Source organism: Homo sapiens, chromosome 1 (assembly GCF_000001405.40).
Source record: "Homo sapiens chromosome 1, GRCh38.p14 Primary Assembly".
NCBI classification, from domain to species: Eukaryota; Metazoa; Chordata; class Mammalia; order Primates; family Hominidae; genus Homo; species Homo sapiens.
Genome location: NC_000001.11, coordinates 84854023 through 84871867, shown reverse-complemented (window position 1 = coordinate 84871867; position 17845 = coordinate 84854023). Strand labels below are relative to the sequence as shown.

Here is a 17845-nt window from a genome sequence, read left to right as displayed (position 1 = left end):
AAATGAATTTGAGCAGGAATGAGGTAGAGAAATGAGCCCCCTGGGTATCTTGGGGAAAAGTCTTCTGGGCAGAGGGAATGGCAAGTGCAAAGGCCTTGAAACTATGGCTAAAATGAACCTCTGGGATTTCATGTGGATTTAAATCTTCCATGCTATCCTGATTTTGCCATTAACATGAATTATTAAAAGGAATTCAGTGAACAGACGTGATTGCTGACCCAGGATTGGTTGCTAGAGTACCAACTAACCTAACATCCAACTCCCATCTGGATAGAGTTTCCTAAGAGGAGAGGACTGGTCTACATTTGTGAACCACAGAGAAAGAAGATATGCTCAGTATTGACTGACCATGTCTTTGATGTACCATACTTCTTTCTAGGAGGAAGGAGAGATTGTTATTGAAAGCCAGCTAAAAAGCCAGGCAGCAACTTGTCTCATAAGATGTAGCTAGAAATAAAAGCTGCTTGAGTGGTTTTCAAATGTCTTAATTCTCATAATTGTTTCCACATTCTGGGCTGGCTGGACATTTTTTCAGGGAAGCAAGTTTGGAAGAGTCTAAATGAAAGCTTTGCTCATGAAGTTTTCATTTGGATTCCACATATAGACTTTCTAAACCATCATTTTATGAAGTCTTAAATTACTGAAGTTTGAAGTTGTGGTAATTGCTCCAAAGTTTAGCATCTTTTTTTTCTAGGTTAGAACTATCAGACCCTCTAAACCTTTAGTATAAAAACAAACAAACAAAAAACAGCTTGGGATTTGACAGAAGTAAAGTTGAGCAATGTTAACCTGGTCCTGAAATTGACCATATTGTATCCTACTTACCATAAAAGTTGAAAACATATTTTCAGAAAAGTGTCTTCTCAGGGTTAAGAAAAAAAAAGGCCAAAGGCTATTTAGAATGCCCTCTATTTTTTATAGCATGGGGCAGTCTTTTAATGTGATTTGATCAGATCATTCTATTTTGGTAATTCTGTAACTCTTGTAAGTATAAATATAGTCCTTGGTTCTGTCTGGCGTTTCACATGCCTGTGGAGATAAAGTATAGTGTTGCAGATAAGAATGCAGGCTGTAGAACGAGGCTGCCTGAATAGAATCCAGGGTCTCCCACTCCTAGCTGTGTAACCTTAGGCAAGGGTGCTTCAGTTTTCTCAAATGCATAATGGGTGTAATAATAGTATCTACATCATTGTTGGGAGGATACCATGAGATAATCCATGTAAAATGCTTAGTTCAGCACCTGGCACAGATAAGCACTCAAATATTAATAATGAAAAATAGTAATAATAAAGTAGAGATATTAAGTAATGTACCTGAAAACACTTAGTTAATAGGTGACAGAGCTCGCTACTTGTCATACTTAGTGATTGATGTATAAGTCAGCAAAGGCATTTCACAGAACCTTTTCATTTTAGACATGGAAAAAGATAGTGTAAGACAGAGATTCATTCATTCATTCAACAAATACTGATCCTGTAGATATGAGCATAATAGGCAGGTTCCCTGCTTTGCTGGAGTGGAACGGTCTAGGGGTGGGAGATGGACAATAAATTCTTAAGCAACAAAAGAAAATACTGGGTCACAAGCAACTGGGTAGCTCTGATGGAGGTAAACCAAGGGCTCTCTGAGAATGAGAGCTGTGGAGCTATCTTGAATTAGTCAGAAAAGTATCTTTGTGGAGGGGACATTGAGACTAGGACTGAAGTAACTGATTAATTTGTTCAAAATCACAGAATCATATTTTAAGGGTTAAGGGAGGCCAAGAGATAATAATAAATCAGTCATTTGTTATAAGCTTGCTAAAAATTTTTGGTAATTCTAGCTAAGACAGTATGATAATCTGTAGATAACGTGTACTGGGGAGATCTGTGGTGATGGCATTAGGCAATGTTTTATAGGAGAATTGGTGAAAGCTACATCCTTGTGTGGTCAGGGTTTTGCAAGTCAAGTTTTGGTTATGTGAAGATTAAGTAGAAAACTATTTTATTTTTGTTGTCACTGAAAAACCCTGAAGTGTGCTGTGCTTGTAAGAATAAACTGAACATATGCAAATCTTTGAGGCTTTTCCTTTGAACATTAATTTTGATTTTTCAAAGCCATAATTGTAGAAGATAGAATACATTAAGTAGAATATATGCTTCTAATTAAAAGTCTTGATTTACTTATTACAGAAAATGTGGTAGATGGAAAAAATTAGAAAGAATTTTTAAAAAATGACTCACAGTTCCACCATTCTTAACTATTTACATTTTGAGATTTTTTTTCATTATCTTTTTCTATATAGTCAACACAAATAAATTTTTGTTATGTGTATTGTATATTAAAGCAATGACATGGGCTTTTTCTTGTATTACCGCAACTTCATAGTGAGTATGTTTTTCATGGACTGTATAGTATTCCATCCTGTGCAATCTTTTTCACCAATTTCCTATGCGAAGTTTTTTTTCTCTCATTACCTGTTTCTCTCAAAAGTAGGATCTGGAACCAGGGTACAGTGCTGCTTAGTGGGAGTTCTGGCTAATCATAGTTTTTCTGTGATGTCTCAACTTTGTCAGACAAAATTGCTTTGCAGTCTCAGGGCAATTTTTGCTAAAAACATGTCTTAAACTGTTTTGGTTTTGACAAGGGACAGTTGAATTTGAAGATTTTTGAAGTAAAAATCATTGAGGTGTTAGTGCTTGATATAATTAAAAATTCGACCACATGTAAGAAATAAAACTAAAATGTTAAGATCCTTCAAAATAAAATTAGGAAAATTTGAGTAGTATTTTTGTAGTGTCTTAATTCCAATGTCTTTGTGACATATTCATCTTTATATTTCTAATAAATTAGTCAAAGATAATATAACTTTTAAATTAGAAATGTTTCTCTTAGATGTATAGAGCATGAAACAAAGTAAAATATATACATTATTTTTAATTAGAAAAGACACATAATAATTGTATTATTAAATTTTCCCATGTGGTGTCTTAGTCTATTCCTGTTGCAATAATAAAAATACTTTAGGTAATTAATAAATAACAGAAATTTATTGCTCACTATTCTGGAAGCTAGGAGGTCCAAGATCAAAGCATCAGTAGATTTGGTGTCTGGTGAGGGCCTGGTCTCTGCTTCCAGAAGGGGGCAAATGCTGTGTCCTTGAATGGCAGTGTGGCAAAAAGGGTCTCACGAGTTCTCTCAGGCCTCTTCAATAAGGGCACTAATCCCATTCACTTCCCAAAGTCCCCACCTATTAATATCACTGCAGTTAGGGTTAGGTGTCAACATGAATTTTGGAGGCACACAAACATTCAGACCATAGCAAGTGATTCTCGGATTGTTTGTCTTGAATTTCTGTATACTTTCAACATGGTTGAAAGCTGTATTTCTCTTTAAATATTTAAATTGAGTATCACTAGATTAGCACCTTGTATTTAACTCTCATATGCTGCTGGTAGAATTAAAAATATGATCTCTCAGGCTGGGTGTGATGGCTCATGCTTGTAATCTCAGCACTTTGGGAGGCCAAGGTGGGCGGATCACCTGAGATCAGGAGTTCGAGACCATCCTGGCCAACATGGTGAAACCCCGTCTCTACTAAAAACACAAAAATTAGCCGGGCGTGCTGGCATGCGCCTGTGGTCCCAGCTACTCAGGAGGCTGAGACAGGAGAATCACTTGAACCCAGGAGGCAGAGGTTGCAGTGAGCCAAGATTGCACCACTGCACTCCAGCCTGGGCGACAGAGCAAGACTCCATCTTGGAAAAAAAAAAATGCTATCTCTCTTAAGTGGAGTTTCACAAGATGTATCAGAAACCCTTAAATAGATTTATATCCTTTACTTCAATTTGAAATCTATGGGTTATTCCTAAAGAAACAATTGGCTAGATATATAAAGATTAATGAACAAGAATGCAGCCTTGCTTATAAAAGTGAAATACAGGAAGCAACCCTAATGTCCAGTATTTAGGATTAGTTAAGTCAGGTGTGGCCTATTCATATAATAGAATATTGTGAAGCTATTAAAATTATACTACCTGTATTTTTAATTTGGGGAAATTATGATATAGTGTAAATATATGATATTATCATGAATTTATTTGATATTTACAGTTAAATATTGGTGACTGTCTGCCAAAGAGAGTAATTTTTATTTTGTCATTATGAAAATTGAGTCTTCCTTTCTTGTAATTGAAAGATACTGGAACCATTTGTCTCTTGAGACTACTCCCAGTTTTTTTTAAGCATATAAAATGATATTTACCTCCCATTTGCTATGGCCAAAAAGCAATATCTAATTCATGTAAAAGTATCATTATACCATTAAAATATAAATTAAAAAAAAGACTGAGATACATTTCTATTTTGTACTACTTAATAGTTATCTGGTCTTCTTGATTCTGGTTGTGGTATTAGATTTCAGAATTTTCAGGAACTTTAAAATCTGGGGGCTTTTACTGAGCTTTTACTGTCACAGCTCCCAGAGGGCTGCTCAGTCCCTCTGCCGACTGAATCTCTGGTTCTCCAGGGAATAAGCTGCAGCCTCATTCTCAGTGAGGGAGCAGATGGTCATTCTTCCAAGAAGCTAGAACCCTGACCCTAAGCCCAATCTTCTTCCGTAGGACCGTTCATGGCTGTGGCCAGACCACTGTGAGGCAGAACACTTGGTTTTCCCCACCACGTGTAGACAGATGGGCATCCGTGGGGCTTCTGCCCAGCCCTTCCTTGGCCAAGATCCCTCGCTTTTGGGATTCAAGAGATCTTTTACTGAGAGGATTAGTGTCTTCCCTGTCTGCCTGATATCCCAGTTTGGGGTCTTCTTTCAGACAAGTGTCTGAAGAACATGCCCTCACTTAATAGATATGTTCTCACATCCACATTGAGTTGGAGATCTGCCCCAATTCCAAATCTCAGTCTTGCCTGTGGAAGCCCGATCCTCCTCCACCTGCCGTGTTGAGGAATGCTGGAAAATCCAGTGAGCAGGTTCACATTGGTACAGTTTGGGTTAGGAGACTATAAGGAAGAAGTGAACAAAAGGTAAGGAAGGGAGATATTGGGACCAAAGTCTCCATCCCTGCATCATATACCTAATATGTGAATATCAGAGTTGTTTGTTGAAACCAAAAGATGGCAAAAGGAGGATCAGGAGTGGAATCAGAAGTCATAGAAAACTGGTCTCTTGGGGTATCTGTTTGGTTATGTGAATGGTAATTCAACTCCTATTATCTTGGGAAGAATGTACCTGAAATTACCAACCTGCCGTTGATTAATGAACATATCCATAAATAACTAATGAACTGGGAGCCAGGAGGAGGCATTAACATAATGTGTTGTCATTGTGTTACCAGTGCAGAGTGGATATTGCAGGGCTCAGCACATTTGCCCTGTTGATGCCTCCATGAGAATTCATTCATTCATTCAGCCAGCCAGCCAACCTACCAATAATTACCCACCATGAGGCAGACAGAGCAACTGAATCCTAGGGTTGTAATGGTGAACAAAATAGAGATACACCCTCCTAACCTGAGCGGCCTAGCCTGGGAAACAAACAATTAAAATGTGCGCTAAATGCTGTGGTAGGAGGTCAGGGGCTATGTCCTGGACCAAAGGACATTTGCACTGAGACCTGACACTTCAGGTCTTCAACTCCCTTGATGGGAGTTAGCCAGAACGGGCTTAGAAACAGCAATTGATGGCTTAGTGACTGATTTTACAAATGATATTTGTTTCTTCTTTAAATTTCTTTCTAGGATGTTCACTTCTCCACAATGAATGAGTGTCACTATGACAAGCACATGGACTTTTTTTATAATAGGAGCAACACTGATACTGTCGATGACTGGACAGGAACAAAGCTTGTGATTGTTTTGTGTGTTGGGACGTTTTTCTGCCTGTTTATTTTTTTTTCTAATTCTCTGGTCATCGCGGCAGTGATCAAAAACAGAAAATTTCATTTCCCCTTCTACTACCTGTTGGCTAATTTAGCTGCTGCCGATTTCTTCGCTGGAATTGCCTATGTATTCCTGATGTTTAACACAGGCCCAGTTTCAAAAACTTTGACTGTCAACCGCTGGTTTCTCCGTCAGGGGCTTCTGGACAGTAGCTTGACTGCTTCCCTCACCAACTTGCTGGTTATCGCCGTGGAGAGGCACATGTCAATCATGAGGATGCGGGTCCATAGCAACCTGACCAAAAAGAGGGTGACACTGCTCATTTTGCTTGTCTGGGCCATCGCCATTTTTATGGGGGCGGTCCCCACACTGGGCTGGAATTGCCTCTGCAACATCTCTGCCTGCTCTTCCCTGGCCCCCATTTACAGCAGGAGTTACCTTGTTTTCTGGACAGTGTCCAACCTCATGGCCTTCCTCATCATGGTTGTGGTGTACCTGCGGATCTACGTGTACGTCAAGAGGAAAACCAACGTCTTGTCTCCGCATACAAGTGGGTCCATCAGCCGCCGGAGGACACCCATGAAGCTAATGAAGACGGTGATGACTGTCTTAGGTAGGTAAGAGGACCCAAGCAAGCCATCATTCCCATTCATTCAGCAAATCTTTACGGAGCATCTGTGGTGTACCAGGCACTTACTAGGCAGTAAGAATGCAGCAGTGAACAAGAACGGACATAAATCGCCACCCACCTGGAGCTTACACTCTAATAAGGAAAGATAAAATAAGTATTCTAATGGGGGTAAACAAATTAAGTGAAATAAGATGAGTCTCCTGTGGAAAAATCAATCAGGGAAGGAAGGAAAAATAAAGCAGGGAAGGGAGCTGGAGAGTGCTAAGCTAAGCAGGTATCGTTTGCACTTTAAAAAAGTGTTGTGAGGGATGCCTGGAAGATGACTTTTGAGCAGAGGTGTGAAGGCAGTCAGGGAGTGAACCATACTGGTGTCTGGGGAAGGGTGTTCCAGGTGGGAGAAGCGGTAAGCACAGGAGCCCTGACCAGCCAGGAAGCCACTATGGCTGCATGGATCGAGCAGAGGGAGTAGGAGAAGATGAGGTCAGGGAGCTGGTGGGGTAGGGGATGGGCTACTCAGATAATGTAGGGTCATGTGGTTATAAGGACTTCAGCTTTTCATTTTTTTTTCTTTTTTCTTTTTTTGCCGGAGCCTCACTCACTCTGTCACCCAGGCTGGAGTGCAGTGGTGCCGTCTCAGCTCACTGCAACCTCCACCTCCCGAGTTCAAGCAATTCTCCTGCCTCAGCGTCCCAAGTTGCTGGGATTACAGGCAGCGCACCACCATGCCCAGCTAATTTTTGTATTTTTAGTAGAGATGGGGTTTCTCCATGTTGGCTGGGCCAGTCTCAAGTGAGATGAGAAGCTATGGGAAGGTTTTAAACAGGGGAGTGACATGATCTGACTTATATTTTAATGGTATCTCTCTGGCTACTGTTTTAAGACACTGCTGTAATGAGGCAATAGCAAAAACAGGAAAATTGTTTAACCTATTTATGCCTAGTGTTCCATTATTGGAATGCTAAGCTTGTGGGAGTTATTTATATCCTACTGCTCAAGGTCATTGACAAGTTCTGATTTTTCACAAAAGAAATTTGCAACCCCTGGCATAAATGGGTTAATAGAGTATTTCAGTACTCGGGAGAGATCACCATGGCCAGATGGTAGTTGAAGGTGATGGTCAGATTCTGTTTTTTTGTTTTTTGTTTTTTTTTTTTTGAGACAGGACCTGGCTCTGTCATCTAGGCTATAGTGCAGTGGTGCAATCTCAGCTCACTGCAACCTCCACCTCCTGGCCTCAAGTGATCCTTCTACCTCAGCCTCCCAAGTAGCTGGGATTACAGGCCTGTGCCACCAGGCCCGGCTAATTTTTGTAATTTTTTTAGAGACAGGGTTTCACCATGTTGCCCAGGCTACTCTCGAACTCCTGAGCTGAAGCCATCCGCCTGCCTCGGCCTCCCACAGTACTGGGATTACAGGTGTGAGCCACTGCACCTGGCCAGATTCCAGATATTTTTTAAAGGATTTACTGATGGGTAAGGTAGAGGGGAAGATGAGAGGTGGAGGAGAAGGTGGGGAATGTCATTAACCAAGATGAGGAAGACTGAAGAGGAGGAGGTTTTGGGGGAAGATTTGGTTTTGGACAAGCTAAATTTAGGAACCTATTAGACATCCAAGGGGTGTGGCAATTTTATTGAGTGGACAGTTGGATGTTTGACTCAGGAATTCAAGATTTAGGTCTGGGCTGGAGATGTACATTTGAGAGTCCTGGGGGGAAACTGGTATTTTAAATCACAGGACTGCGTGAGCTCACCATGAACGTGAATGTGGATATGAAGGAGAGGAGGACCAAGGATGGAGCCGTAGGGCAGGCCCTCCAGTGTAAGGAGGTCAGGAGGTAAGGGGCAGCCAGCAAAGGAGCCCTAGAAGGGATGGAAAACCCAGGAGACTCTGGGGAACTAGAAGAAAGAGAAGAAGGCAATCGAGGAGAGGAAGCATTAGCAGTGTTGGTACCCCTGAGAGGTGGTGTAAGACCAGGTGTTGCTGGCCTTACCAAAGTGGTGGACTTGTGCTGATCTTGAGATCATCACATTTGGTATAGCCAAGAGCCTGATTGGAGTAAAATTGAGAAAGAAAGGAAGAGCCTGGGCAACATGGTGAAACCCCATCTCTATGAAAAATACTAAAATTAGCTGGCCATGGTGGTGCATACCTGTAGTCCCAGCTACTTGGGTGGCTGAGGTGGGAGAACCGCTTGAACCCGGGAGGTTGAGGTTGAGTGAGCTGTGATCACACCACGGCACTCCAGCCTGAACAACAGAGTAAGAGCCTGTCTTAAGAAACAAAAACAAAACCAAAAAAAAAAAAAGGGAGGAGAGAAAGGTTGTGAGCCCTGTACCAAGAAGACATGTGGTTTCGTAGAATTTTCCCTTTGTTTTATTTTCTCTGAAGTAGGTGGCCTATTGCCCCACCTCCCCAGTTCTAATTCTGGGTTACAGGTAGAATTTGTAATGTGTGGGCAGACAAGAACTTTTGTGGTTTCACAGAACTTGTCTTGTAAGGCAGAGAGGCCGTTTCTCACTGTGTGTGTGGCTGCAGCAATGGGGACTGTTGCTGAGAGAGATTCAGGAGTACATTTCTGTCTACTCCTTATGAGAAGGAATTATAAAATGAATTATCAGGTAGCAGTTCATAGTGGAGGATACAGTATGTGTGGTGTGGTATAGAAACCCTCACAATGCCTCTAGGTCCTGAAACTGCTAGTAAGATTTGGGGGTCAGCAGACACAGAGTGTGATTGTTAAAATAATTTCAAACTGAGGATTTATTTAACAAATATTTATATAGTGCTTAATATGTGCCAAGCATTGTCCTAAGTGTTTTTACAAACATTAACTTATTTAATTCTCATGGAAACCCTGTGAGATAGGTGCTACTATTATACCCATTTACCAGATGGAGAAACTGAGAGTTTAAGCAGTGTGTCCAGTCACTCAGCTGTTAACCAAGACTCACTGCGCAGCTGGCCTCTAGAGTTCACATATTTACCACCATACTCTGTGGCTACTTGTGATTTATCTGGACTTTTTACGCTCATCTTTTTGTCCTGTCTTCTGCTTTGACACCGTTGACACATTGATAAGAAAATGGACAAGAACAAGAAAAAGAGGGTTCACATTAATCGGCATTTCCCCTCGAGCTGGAGAAGATATTGATGTTTTTGATAAAGAATGAACTTTGGTATTTACAGATAGTGTCAATGAACTGTGCTGCTGTCCCTGCTTAACTTGTAGGCATAATCATTTGCTTGGCTATGTGTCTTGAGAAATTACCCGCCTGCTTAAAAAGAAAACTTTCTTTTCTCATCATATTATAATATAGTATACAGCATGATAGAGACAAGGATTCCAAAATCCTAGGTGGAGAGAACAGGACCCTTTGTGAGACAGTCATGGTCACAAACTTCAGTTTTGTATGTAATTTTGTCTGCAACAGTTACGGAAGGGGTTAAAAGAAAGGAGCTGGGAGGTTTTGGCAGGTGTGGTATTGACTAAGAGAAAAACCAGAATGAACAATTAAATTTCCAAGTAGGATAAGAGAAGTCATGCAATTGAGATAAGACAACATTGGGGAATTGGTTAATGGAAGAAAGACAGTTTGGTGTCAAGGACCTCAGAAGTTCCTTAATGGTAAGACAGAGGAACCTGGTGGAAGACAGGAAGTTCAGGGACGAGGGAAATGAAACTCAAGAGCTAGGTGGTGTAAGGCTGAAGACTTCCAGCTCCTGATTTCTCTAGATAACAGAAAGATTTGGGTTTTACCCCCAATTCTTTCATTTTCTACAAGGGTGATCTGCAGCACATCAGCTCATCTTTTCTTGGTTAGATTCCCTCATCAGGTGGCATAGACCATCTTTAAGTTCTTTACAAGTTACAAAGTTCAATTATCCTTTATGACAGTTAGTAACCAAAGGTGGGAATGAAAAGGAAGAGTGGAGAGAGAGAGAGGGAGAGAGAGATTGAGAGAGAGAATATGAATCTTGTGGGGCAGCACCAAACATTTCTGTGGATCCAAGCACAGAGCCTCTTTCCTTGACAGCAGCACCTACCACAGTATCTTCCTAGGGAGAAAGCCCCCAGTTCCCTACATACTACATGTAAGAATTCAATTGCCTGAAACAAGCATCTCCCAAATGATAGTATATTAGAAAAATCAACAGTGCTGGCATTAACCATCATCTAATCACTGGTTCTGATTATGTGGAGATGAATAGCTTAATACTCATGTTTTTAATAATTGGAGGATTTAAATGTCTTTATGATAAAATGCTAAACATTTCCATTTACTCCTTGATACATATTTTGTAGGAAAGATTCATTTAAGATTAAATCCATCCAGGTGTGGTGGCTCACGCCTATAATTCTAGCACTCTGGGAGGCCGAGGCGGGCGGATCACTTGAGGTCAGGAGTTTGAGACCATCCTGGCCAACATGGTGAAACCCCGTCTCTACTAAAAATACAAAAATTAGCTGGGTTTGATGGTAGGCACCTGTAATTCCAGCTACTCAGGAGGCTGAGGCAGGAGAATTGGTTGAACCCAGGAGGTGGAGGTTGCAGTGAGCCAAGATGGCGCCCCCGCACTCCAGCCTGGGTGACAGTGAGACTCCGTATCAAAAAAAAAAAAAAAAAAAAAAAATTAAATCCTAAAGTTTCTTACGAACCCTCTTCTTTTACATATTAGAAAGTCAGTCTCTAAGTACATATTAACTGTCTATTAAACAGTATCTAAGAGGTACATGGTTGCATGAATTCAGTGAGCTTAATCTTATTTCAGAAGAGGAAAGGATGGACAGGGGCTGTTGAGTGTGGAGACGGCTTCTTAATGGGCTGGGATGTAATCTGGAAGGATAGGTGGGATTTGCATGGGCTGGAGGAAGACACATTCTAAGAGGGAGAAATGGCATACTCAGAAGTGTGATGATAGAAACATTTAAAGCTTGTGCATTACCATGAGGAAGGCCCCACAGAGTACAAATACTTGCTGTGGTGCGGTGGAAAAATAGCTCACCTGTGAACCAGCAAAGTTTAGTTGGCTATCCTCTTTGGAAGGAGAGTAGACCAGATGACCTTTGTGTTCCTTTCCAGCTTTGGGATTTTGGTTGAACACAAAAGCTAACAGCATGGGGATTCAGACTCTTTCCTTGAGGGTAGTGGTGGTAGTGATGATGGTGATGTGAGTTTTCAATCTGTGTGTGCATGATTGGAAAGGCATCAAGGCATCATGTTCCCGTTTCAGCAGCCCTGAGGCAAAATGCTTGCTCACTTCTGGGTTAGAATGTGTGATGGGGCCCTTTATGTGAAAAAAGTTGCTTATTGAATGTTCTCATTGAAAAGACATCGGAGACATACGATCCTGCTTTCCAAAGAGCACCAAGGCCCTGCCTAAGAAAGGGTTTTGAAATCTTACTTGTCAACAAGCCTAATCAGCTACAGCAACCAAACACACAAGAAACCCCACATGGAAACGTCTAATTTATTGTCAAACAACACACCATGTGAACTGTGCACACAGAAATGTTTTGTTATTTCCCAGAAAATGGGCTGGACTTTGCTTTATTTTGCAGTGTCTTAAAATACAAGAGAAAAGAAAGAGGGAAGGGACTTGCAAACCATTCTTTTGAAGTCTTCCATGAACCCTCCTGTCCTTTAGTGATGTTTTTCAAACTGTAAGTTTTGATGCACTGATGAGATTGTAAGCAACACTTTTTAAAATGACATAAAAAGAAGAGAAAATGTCAGAGTGTGTTGCATTTAACAGGTATCAATATTGTTTTATAACCTTTCTTTGCGTGCCTGTGTGTGTGCTGGGTTGTGATATAAAATGTATTTCCTATCATGAGTTATCGTCAAGAACGTTTGAAAAACCATGATCTTGAGGGTCAAGGTTTATTTTTCTGCCAGAAAGCACTGAACTCTTTTAAAATATGAAACATTATCGTTGTTAAGGGACTTAGGGCTTGTGGTAATTAAAACAGGGAGCTGGTTGTTTTTCTTCTCACTTCTTCCTCCCTCCTCTCCACTTAGATTGATGCTAAATCATCCTCTTTTGTCTCTTAGGGGAGAGAGGAAGAAGGCAAAGTAGCAGTAAGCAACGAAACGATAGCTCAAGTTCTCATGCTAGGAGGAAATGGGTGAAAATTAAGTACCATAAAGAGCCTTGCCAGAGTACTAATAATAATCACACATGATGTTTCTGCAGTACTGTGTCTTTTTCAGTTTTAATACACTGTTCTCTTTGGTCTCATGGAAATCCTGCCAAGCAAGTAGTTAAGGTATTATTATCCGATTTTCCTGCAACTCCCCTAGATGTATCCTATACTCAAGCTATAATGAATTATTTGCGCTTCCCCCATTTTGTCTCTTTAAGCCTTTGCAGATGTTGGGATACCTTTCCCCTAGTTCTGCCTGGGAAACTCCCATTCACCTTGTAAGACCTAACTCAAAGGTCTATCTTCTTTGAATCTTCCTTTGCCCTACTGGAGTAAATCTGATTACTGCCTCCCTTGGGCTGCCTGTCAGTCTTGTCCATACAACAATCAACGTACTTAATTGTTTACATGCCTTTATTTTGCACTAGAGTATACACCCTTCGAAGTCAGGGACTGTACCTTATTTATCTGTCTCTACATATCTAACAGCTAGTACTCTCAGCTAGCACCCTATCTGGCACACACTTGTTGAGATGTACTACAATGAATAAATGAGGAAATTGAGGCTGAGGGGAAGGTAAGTGGCTTTTCAAATGCTGGAGCTAAAAGCAGAACCCAGGTTTCCTCACTTCCATCTTGGCCTTAGATGGGCTCTGGCTGAGACATGCCTGTCAGGTAGACAAGGGAGGGAAATAGGTAAGAATCGTGTTTTTTAGGTTTTTTTTTTTTTTTTTTTTTGAGACAGTCTCGCCCTGTCGCCCAAGGCTGGAGTTTCAGTGGTGTGATCTCCGCTCACTGCAACCTCCGCCTCCTGGGTTCAAGTGATTCTTGTGCCTCAGCCTCCTGAATAGTTGGGATTATAGGCATGTGGCACCATGCCCAGCTACTTTTCTTATGTTTTTAGTAGAGATAGAGTTTCGCCATGTTGCCCAGGCTGGTCTGAAACTCCTGGCCTCAAGTGATCTGCCCATCTCGGCCTCCCAAAGTGCTGGGATTGCAGGCATGAACCACCATGCCCGGCCCTTGTTTTATCTTATAATTTTATAATATGAGAAGCCGAGGTCTCTGAAGGTTAAGCGATAGTATTATCTTGGGAAGGAGAAAAGAAATGAGCATTTTTTGAATGCTTCTTATGATGAGGTCAGCGTGTTCCAGGCTTTTAGGATTTTATTTCACTTAACCCTCATAACAACTCTATGCAGATCTGTTTTTAAGACAAGGAGATTCGAGTGGACTTAGCCTCTTGCCCACACACCCGTATTGATAAAATTATTAATAGTTAATATTCATTGTGGGGTATACATGGTTCTGAGTAACTTATATGTTTTATTTCATTTAGCATTCATGACAACCCTTGAGGGAAGTTCTGTTATTACCAGATGAGGAAACTGAGGCCCGAAAAGGTTCAATGTCTTGCTCAAGGTTAGTAGCAGAGCTGAGATTCCAACCCCAGGAGACTGGCTCCATACTCTACTTTTCAGAGTCAGTTAATAGTCTCTTGGAAGTGAGGGGGCTGGAACGATTGGACCCAAGTCATGAAGTTTATAACTTGTATCTCCCTTGGTTTCTATAAAGTTCATTTCTGTAAAGTCACATGCTCTTTCAACATTTAGCTCGCCCTTGATCCAAATGTTTTGCAGCATGCTAGTGACAGCTATGAAAACATCTCCTGGAAAATGACAGCTCTATACTCTTCAAACTTTATGCTTATTAAAATCATTGGTAAGAATAGGGGCTTTGGAGTCGGCGGGGGGAACTGGATTTAAATCCTAGCTTTGTCAATTCCAAGTTGTGTGACCTTGAGCAATTCATCTCACCTGTCTGTGCCTTAGTTTTTTCATCTGTAAGAAAGGGATAATAGTATCTTTGGCATGGTGAGGTGTTGAGGATTCAATGAGTTAATACACATAAAGCACCTAGCATAATGTTTGGTACATAGTAAGTACTAAGTAAATATTAGCTACTCTTAGACCTTAGTTTGATTCTAAAGAGCCATGCCCTGTATTCAAGCAGAATGCCCTTTTATGTCCAGTTCTATCACCAAGTAACCTGGACACAGGGACTAGAAGCCTACTGTTGGTGCCATCATGATGGCAGATTTTATAAAATGGACAAGTAGCCAAGAGGAAGCTGACCGGGTGTGCTTTGCAGAGGCTGCCTTGACAGATGGCAAATGGTACCAGCTCTGTTACTGGAGACCCAGGACAGTCTGAACACATGGTCACCACAGAACTGAAAAGCTCTGTGCTTACATTGCTAGTCCCTATAAACCACCCTCTCCCCTACGAAATTCTGTTAATGATTCCTGTCTCTGACAGATGATCTTTCCATTAATAATTCATTTCACTTTTGCAACATTTATGAATAAAACATTATAAATGAGACCCTGGCCACAAAGCATTAGCTTGACAAGAGTCCTGTGATACAGCACCAACATCTTGTGTATAGAGCTCTATTATAGGATGGTCCTCATAAGAAACTGTCCCCCTCTTGCTAACAAATCCTTCGAGAGTAGCTAGTTCGTCAGCTGCTATTATCACCTTTGCTAGGATTGGAAAGTTTGCCCTGTGACTGAAAAGAGTTGGGACCAAAACACAGGCCTTTTGGTATTATTCATAAGCTTCATCGATGAACTGTCCTTACTCCATTAAAAAAGAGAGAGAGAGAAAAAAAAAGTACATGTGCCTAAGTTCGTGAGGAATTCTGAAACATTTGTTTTCAGCTTCTGTGGCCTTGTAGTTGCTTCTGCAACACAGAAGCCTGCTTTCAATGTTTACTGCCTGCATGCCTTAGTAATCAAATATCTGTTAAAATAGAAAAAAAGAAAACAGTTAAAGCTTTGCCTTAAGAAATGCTGAGTGAAATGAACAGATTGTTGGCACACAGGGGCTCTCTTGTTGCTGTGCAGAGAGTCATATCAGAAGGAGGGTGATTCTTTTCAGAGTCAAGCCATCCAGGCACCAGTACTCAGTACATTGAGTCCGGGGGTGTTCGTACTTTTGTCTTGAAATGGCTAGTCCCAGGAGCACCTTTGTCACAGATGATTTTCCTGTGTGCTTCATGGCATTGCTACAGAGGCCTATGGGAGGGAGGCATTGTTTTCAGGGCAGGCCGTCAATCGGTGGGTGCAAAAATGCAGTTGCCACTCAGTTGCTGCCCCTACGCTGCTGTTTGACACATCCCTTCCTGTTCTGACGGGGAACGTGGGGACTGAGATGACCTCAGTGTCTGATGCTGGAAGGAAGACAGCTTCAAATTAAAAAAGAAAATCCCTCATATGGCACTCCATCCCACTTGTTCAAATGCCATCTTGACACCTCTTCCAACACCACATTTCCAGGAGTCTGTCTTCTTTCTTCTGTCTCTGCCATATGTAGCCATTTGTTACCTCAAGTCTGGCTCTTGGTTCTTTCTTTTCCCCCCACGCCACTGTTTCAGACACCTCCCTTGGCAGTCAGTTTAGAAGTGCTTTTCCCAAATCAGTGTTCTTGTTTCCAATGTAACCACTGCCCTGCCCTCTTACTTCTTCCATTTCCTCTGGTCCAGACCCCTTCAGTTCCATTACACCAAATGCACTCAGCTTCTTTTATTCCCCTCTCATGCCCCCTTCTTCAGAACTTCTGGCTTTTCTTCTTTTTAGAAAACTGAAACCTTCCTCTTAAGCTGAAACAAACAATTATTGAATATTTTCTGAGTGCAAGGTGGAGAAACATTTCTCAAATTTGACCTCTTTGAAAAGAAGGTATAGGGAGAGGTTCCAGTACCCAACTACATCCAACCCTCCTGCCAACACCCAGCCTCCTGGAAGGTTTCATGTTCCAGAACTCAGGAACACCCTCTCTTAGGGCTTTGATTTCTGCCAAAGGAGAAATGTGGTCATCGTCTGTGACTCAGGCGTCATATCACTGGGCTAATTCAACATCTGGAATAGTATGGTGTGTGCTGGCCAATGGTAGAATTTTATCAAATTCCATGTTAACATTGTACTTCGAAAATTTCAGCTGGGGACTACTATGTTCATTGTGTATCTATGGCAAACATGTTGGGTGGGAACTGGGAGTAAAGGGTGTTTGCTGGAATTATGCCCTGTCGTGGACCTAGGGATCAACACAGAAGCTGGGATAAGGGGTAAGGGAACCAAGAGTTATTGGCAGGAGTCATCTTCCCTCCTGCACTGACAGTTGTCCCTCCAGCCCAGCCACCTGCTCTCCCTCACCACCAGATTGTTGTTAACTCTGCAGAGTATGTGGCGGAAAGATCCCATTACCTCAAAGAATCAATACTGTTGAGAGATTTGACCAAGTTCACTTTGTAAATTACTGCAGCATTGTGGCTGCAGCTCTGGACCTTCTAGTTCCTGCTTCTTCTAGTGGGTCCCAACTTCTTGCCTTGGCAAAATATACCTGTCCTTGGATGCCTGAGTGACAGTGAATCACAACAGGCGTTGTTTTCATCAAGTCAGAGAATTTACTGCTCAGTGGTGAACCTATTTTATTCTTTATGTTTTTTTCTGCATTTTATATTTTCTCATCATAAACATTTATTGACTACCTTGCTAGGTTTTAGGCAGTGTACTAACTATGAGACATGGCCTCTACCCTGAAGGCACTGTGAATCTGTGCTTGCTCTAGTGGTTTATGGTTGTCAGGAAATGACCAAGATTTATGAGTCAACGGTTGTGTCACATGAGAGATAGATGACATGGAGGCAGACCTGTTCTGTGTGGCTTTTCCTGTGTGTGACTAATAGAGAACCCTATTTCCAGGCTTATTTGAGGAAATGAGAAATGTACTCAAAAAAGATAACTGAAGGCACAAAGAAATATACATAAGGGCTGAATGAGGGGGCCTAGGCTGAAAAAATGCTGTGGGCTTGGATGGTCCATGGAGGCCTCTTTGAGAAGGTAGAATATAAGCCTGATTTCAGTGTAACAGGTGGAGAGGAAAGGGGAAGGCATTGCAGATAGGAGGAAAGGCAGGGTGGGAGACAGGTATACATATGTCTAGGGAGGCCATGCCAGGGCCGTGGGTAGAAAGGGGAGACTGGGCAGACTGATTTCTGGAATAAGGAGTTTGAATAGTAATGACAATCTGGTTTGAGAGACATAAGGGAGCCAGAGACTGGAAGGCCTTGGATCCTAGGGTCCTGTGGACTTCATTGTCAGATATCTAAGAGAGACTAGGCAGATAACATGGGTAT

At 41.6% G+C, this 17845-nt stretch overlaps 1 protein-coding gene across 1 annotated transcript in view, besides 1 other annotated feature; it reads left to right on the top strand.

Annotated features, from left to right (window-relative positions):
• Positions 1 to 17845, top strand: part of LPAR3 (lysophosphatidic acid receptor 3) — an 81605-nt gene that overhangs the window by 21339 nt on the left and 42421 nt on the right. The window contains exon 2 of the mRNA NM_012152.3: positions 5730 to 6483. Within this exon, the coding sequence (NP_036284.1) occupies positions 5748 to 6483 (736 nt within the window). The 5' untranslated portion in view covers positions 5730 to 5747. The remainder of the gene's footprint in view (positions 1 to 5729; positions 6484 to 17845) is intronic.
• Positions 17196 to 17445: an enhancer, noted in NCBI's record as "active region_1259". NCBI's record gives its function as "activates an Ori minimal core promoter by ATAC-STARR-seq in GM12878 lymphoblastoid cells {active_cell/tissue: GM12878}" and the evidence as "EXISTENCE:reporter gene assay evidence [ECO:0000049][PMID:35858748]".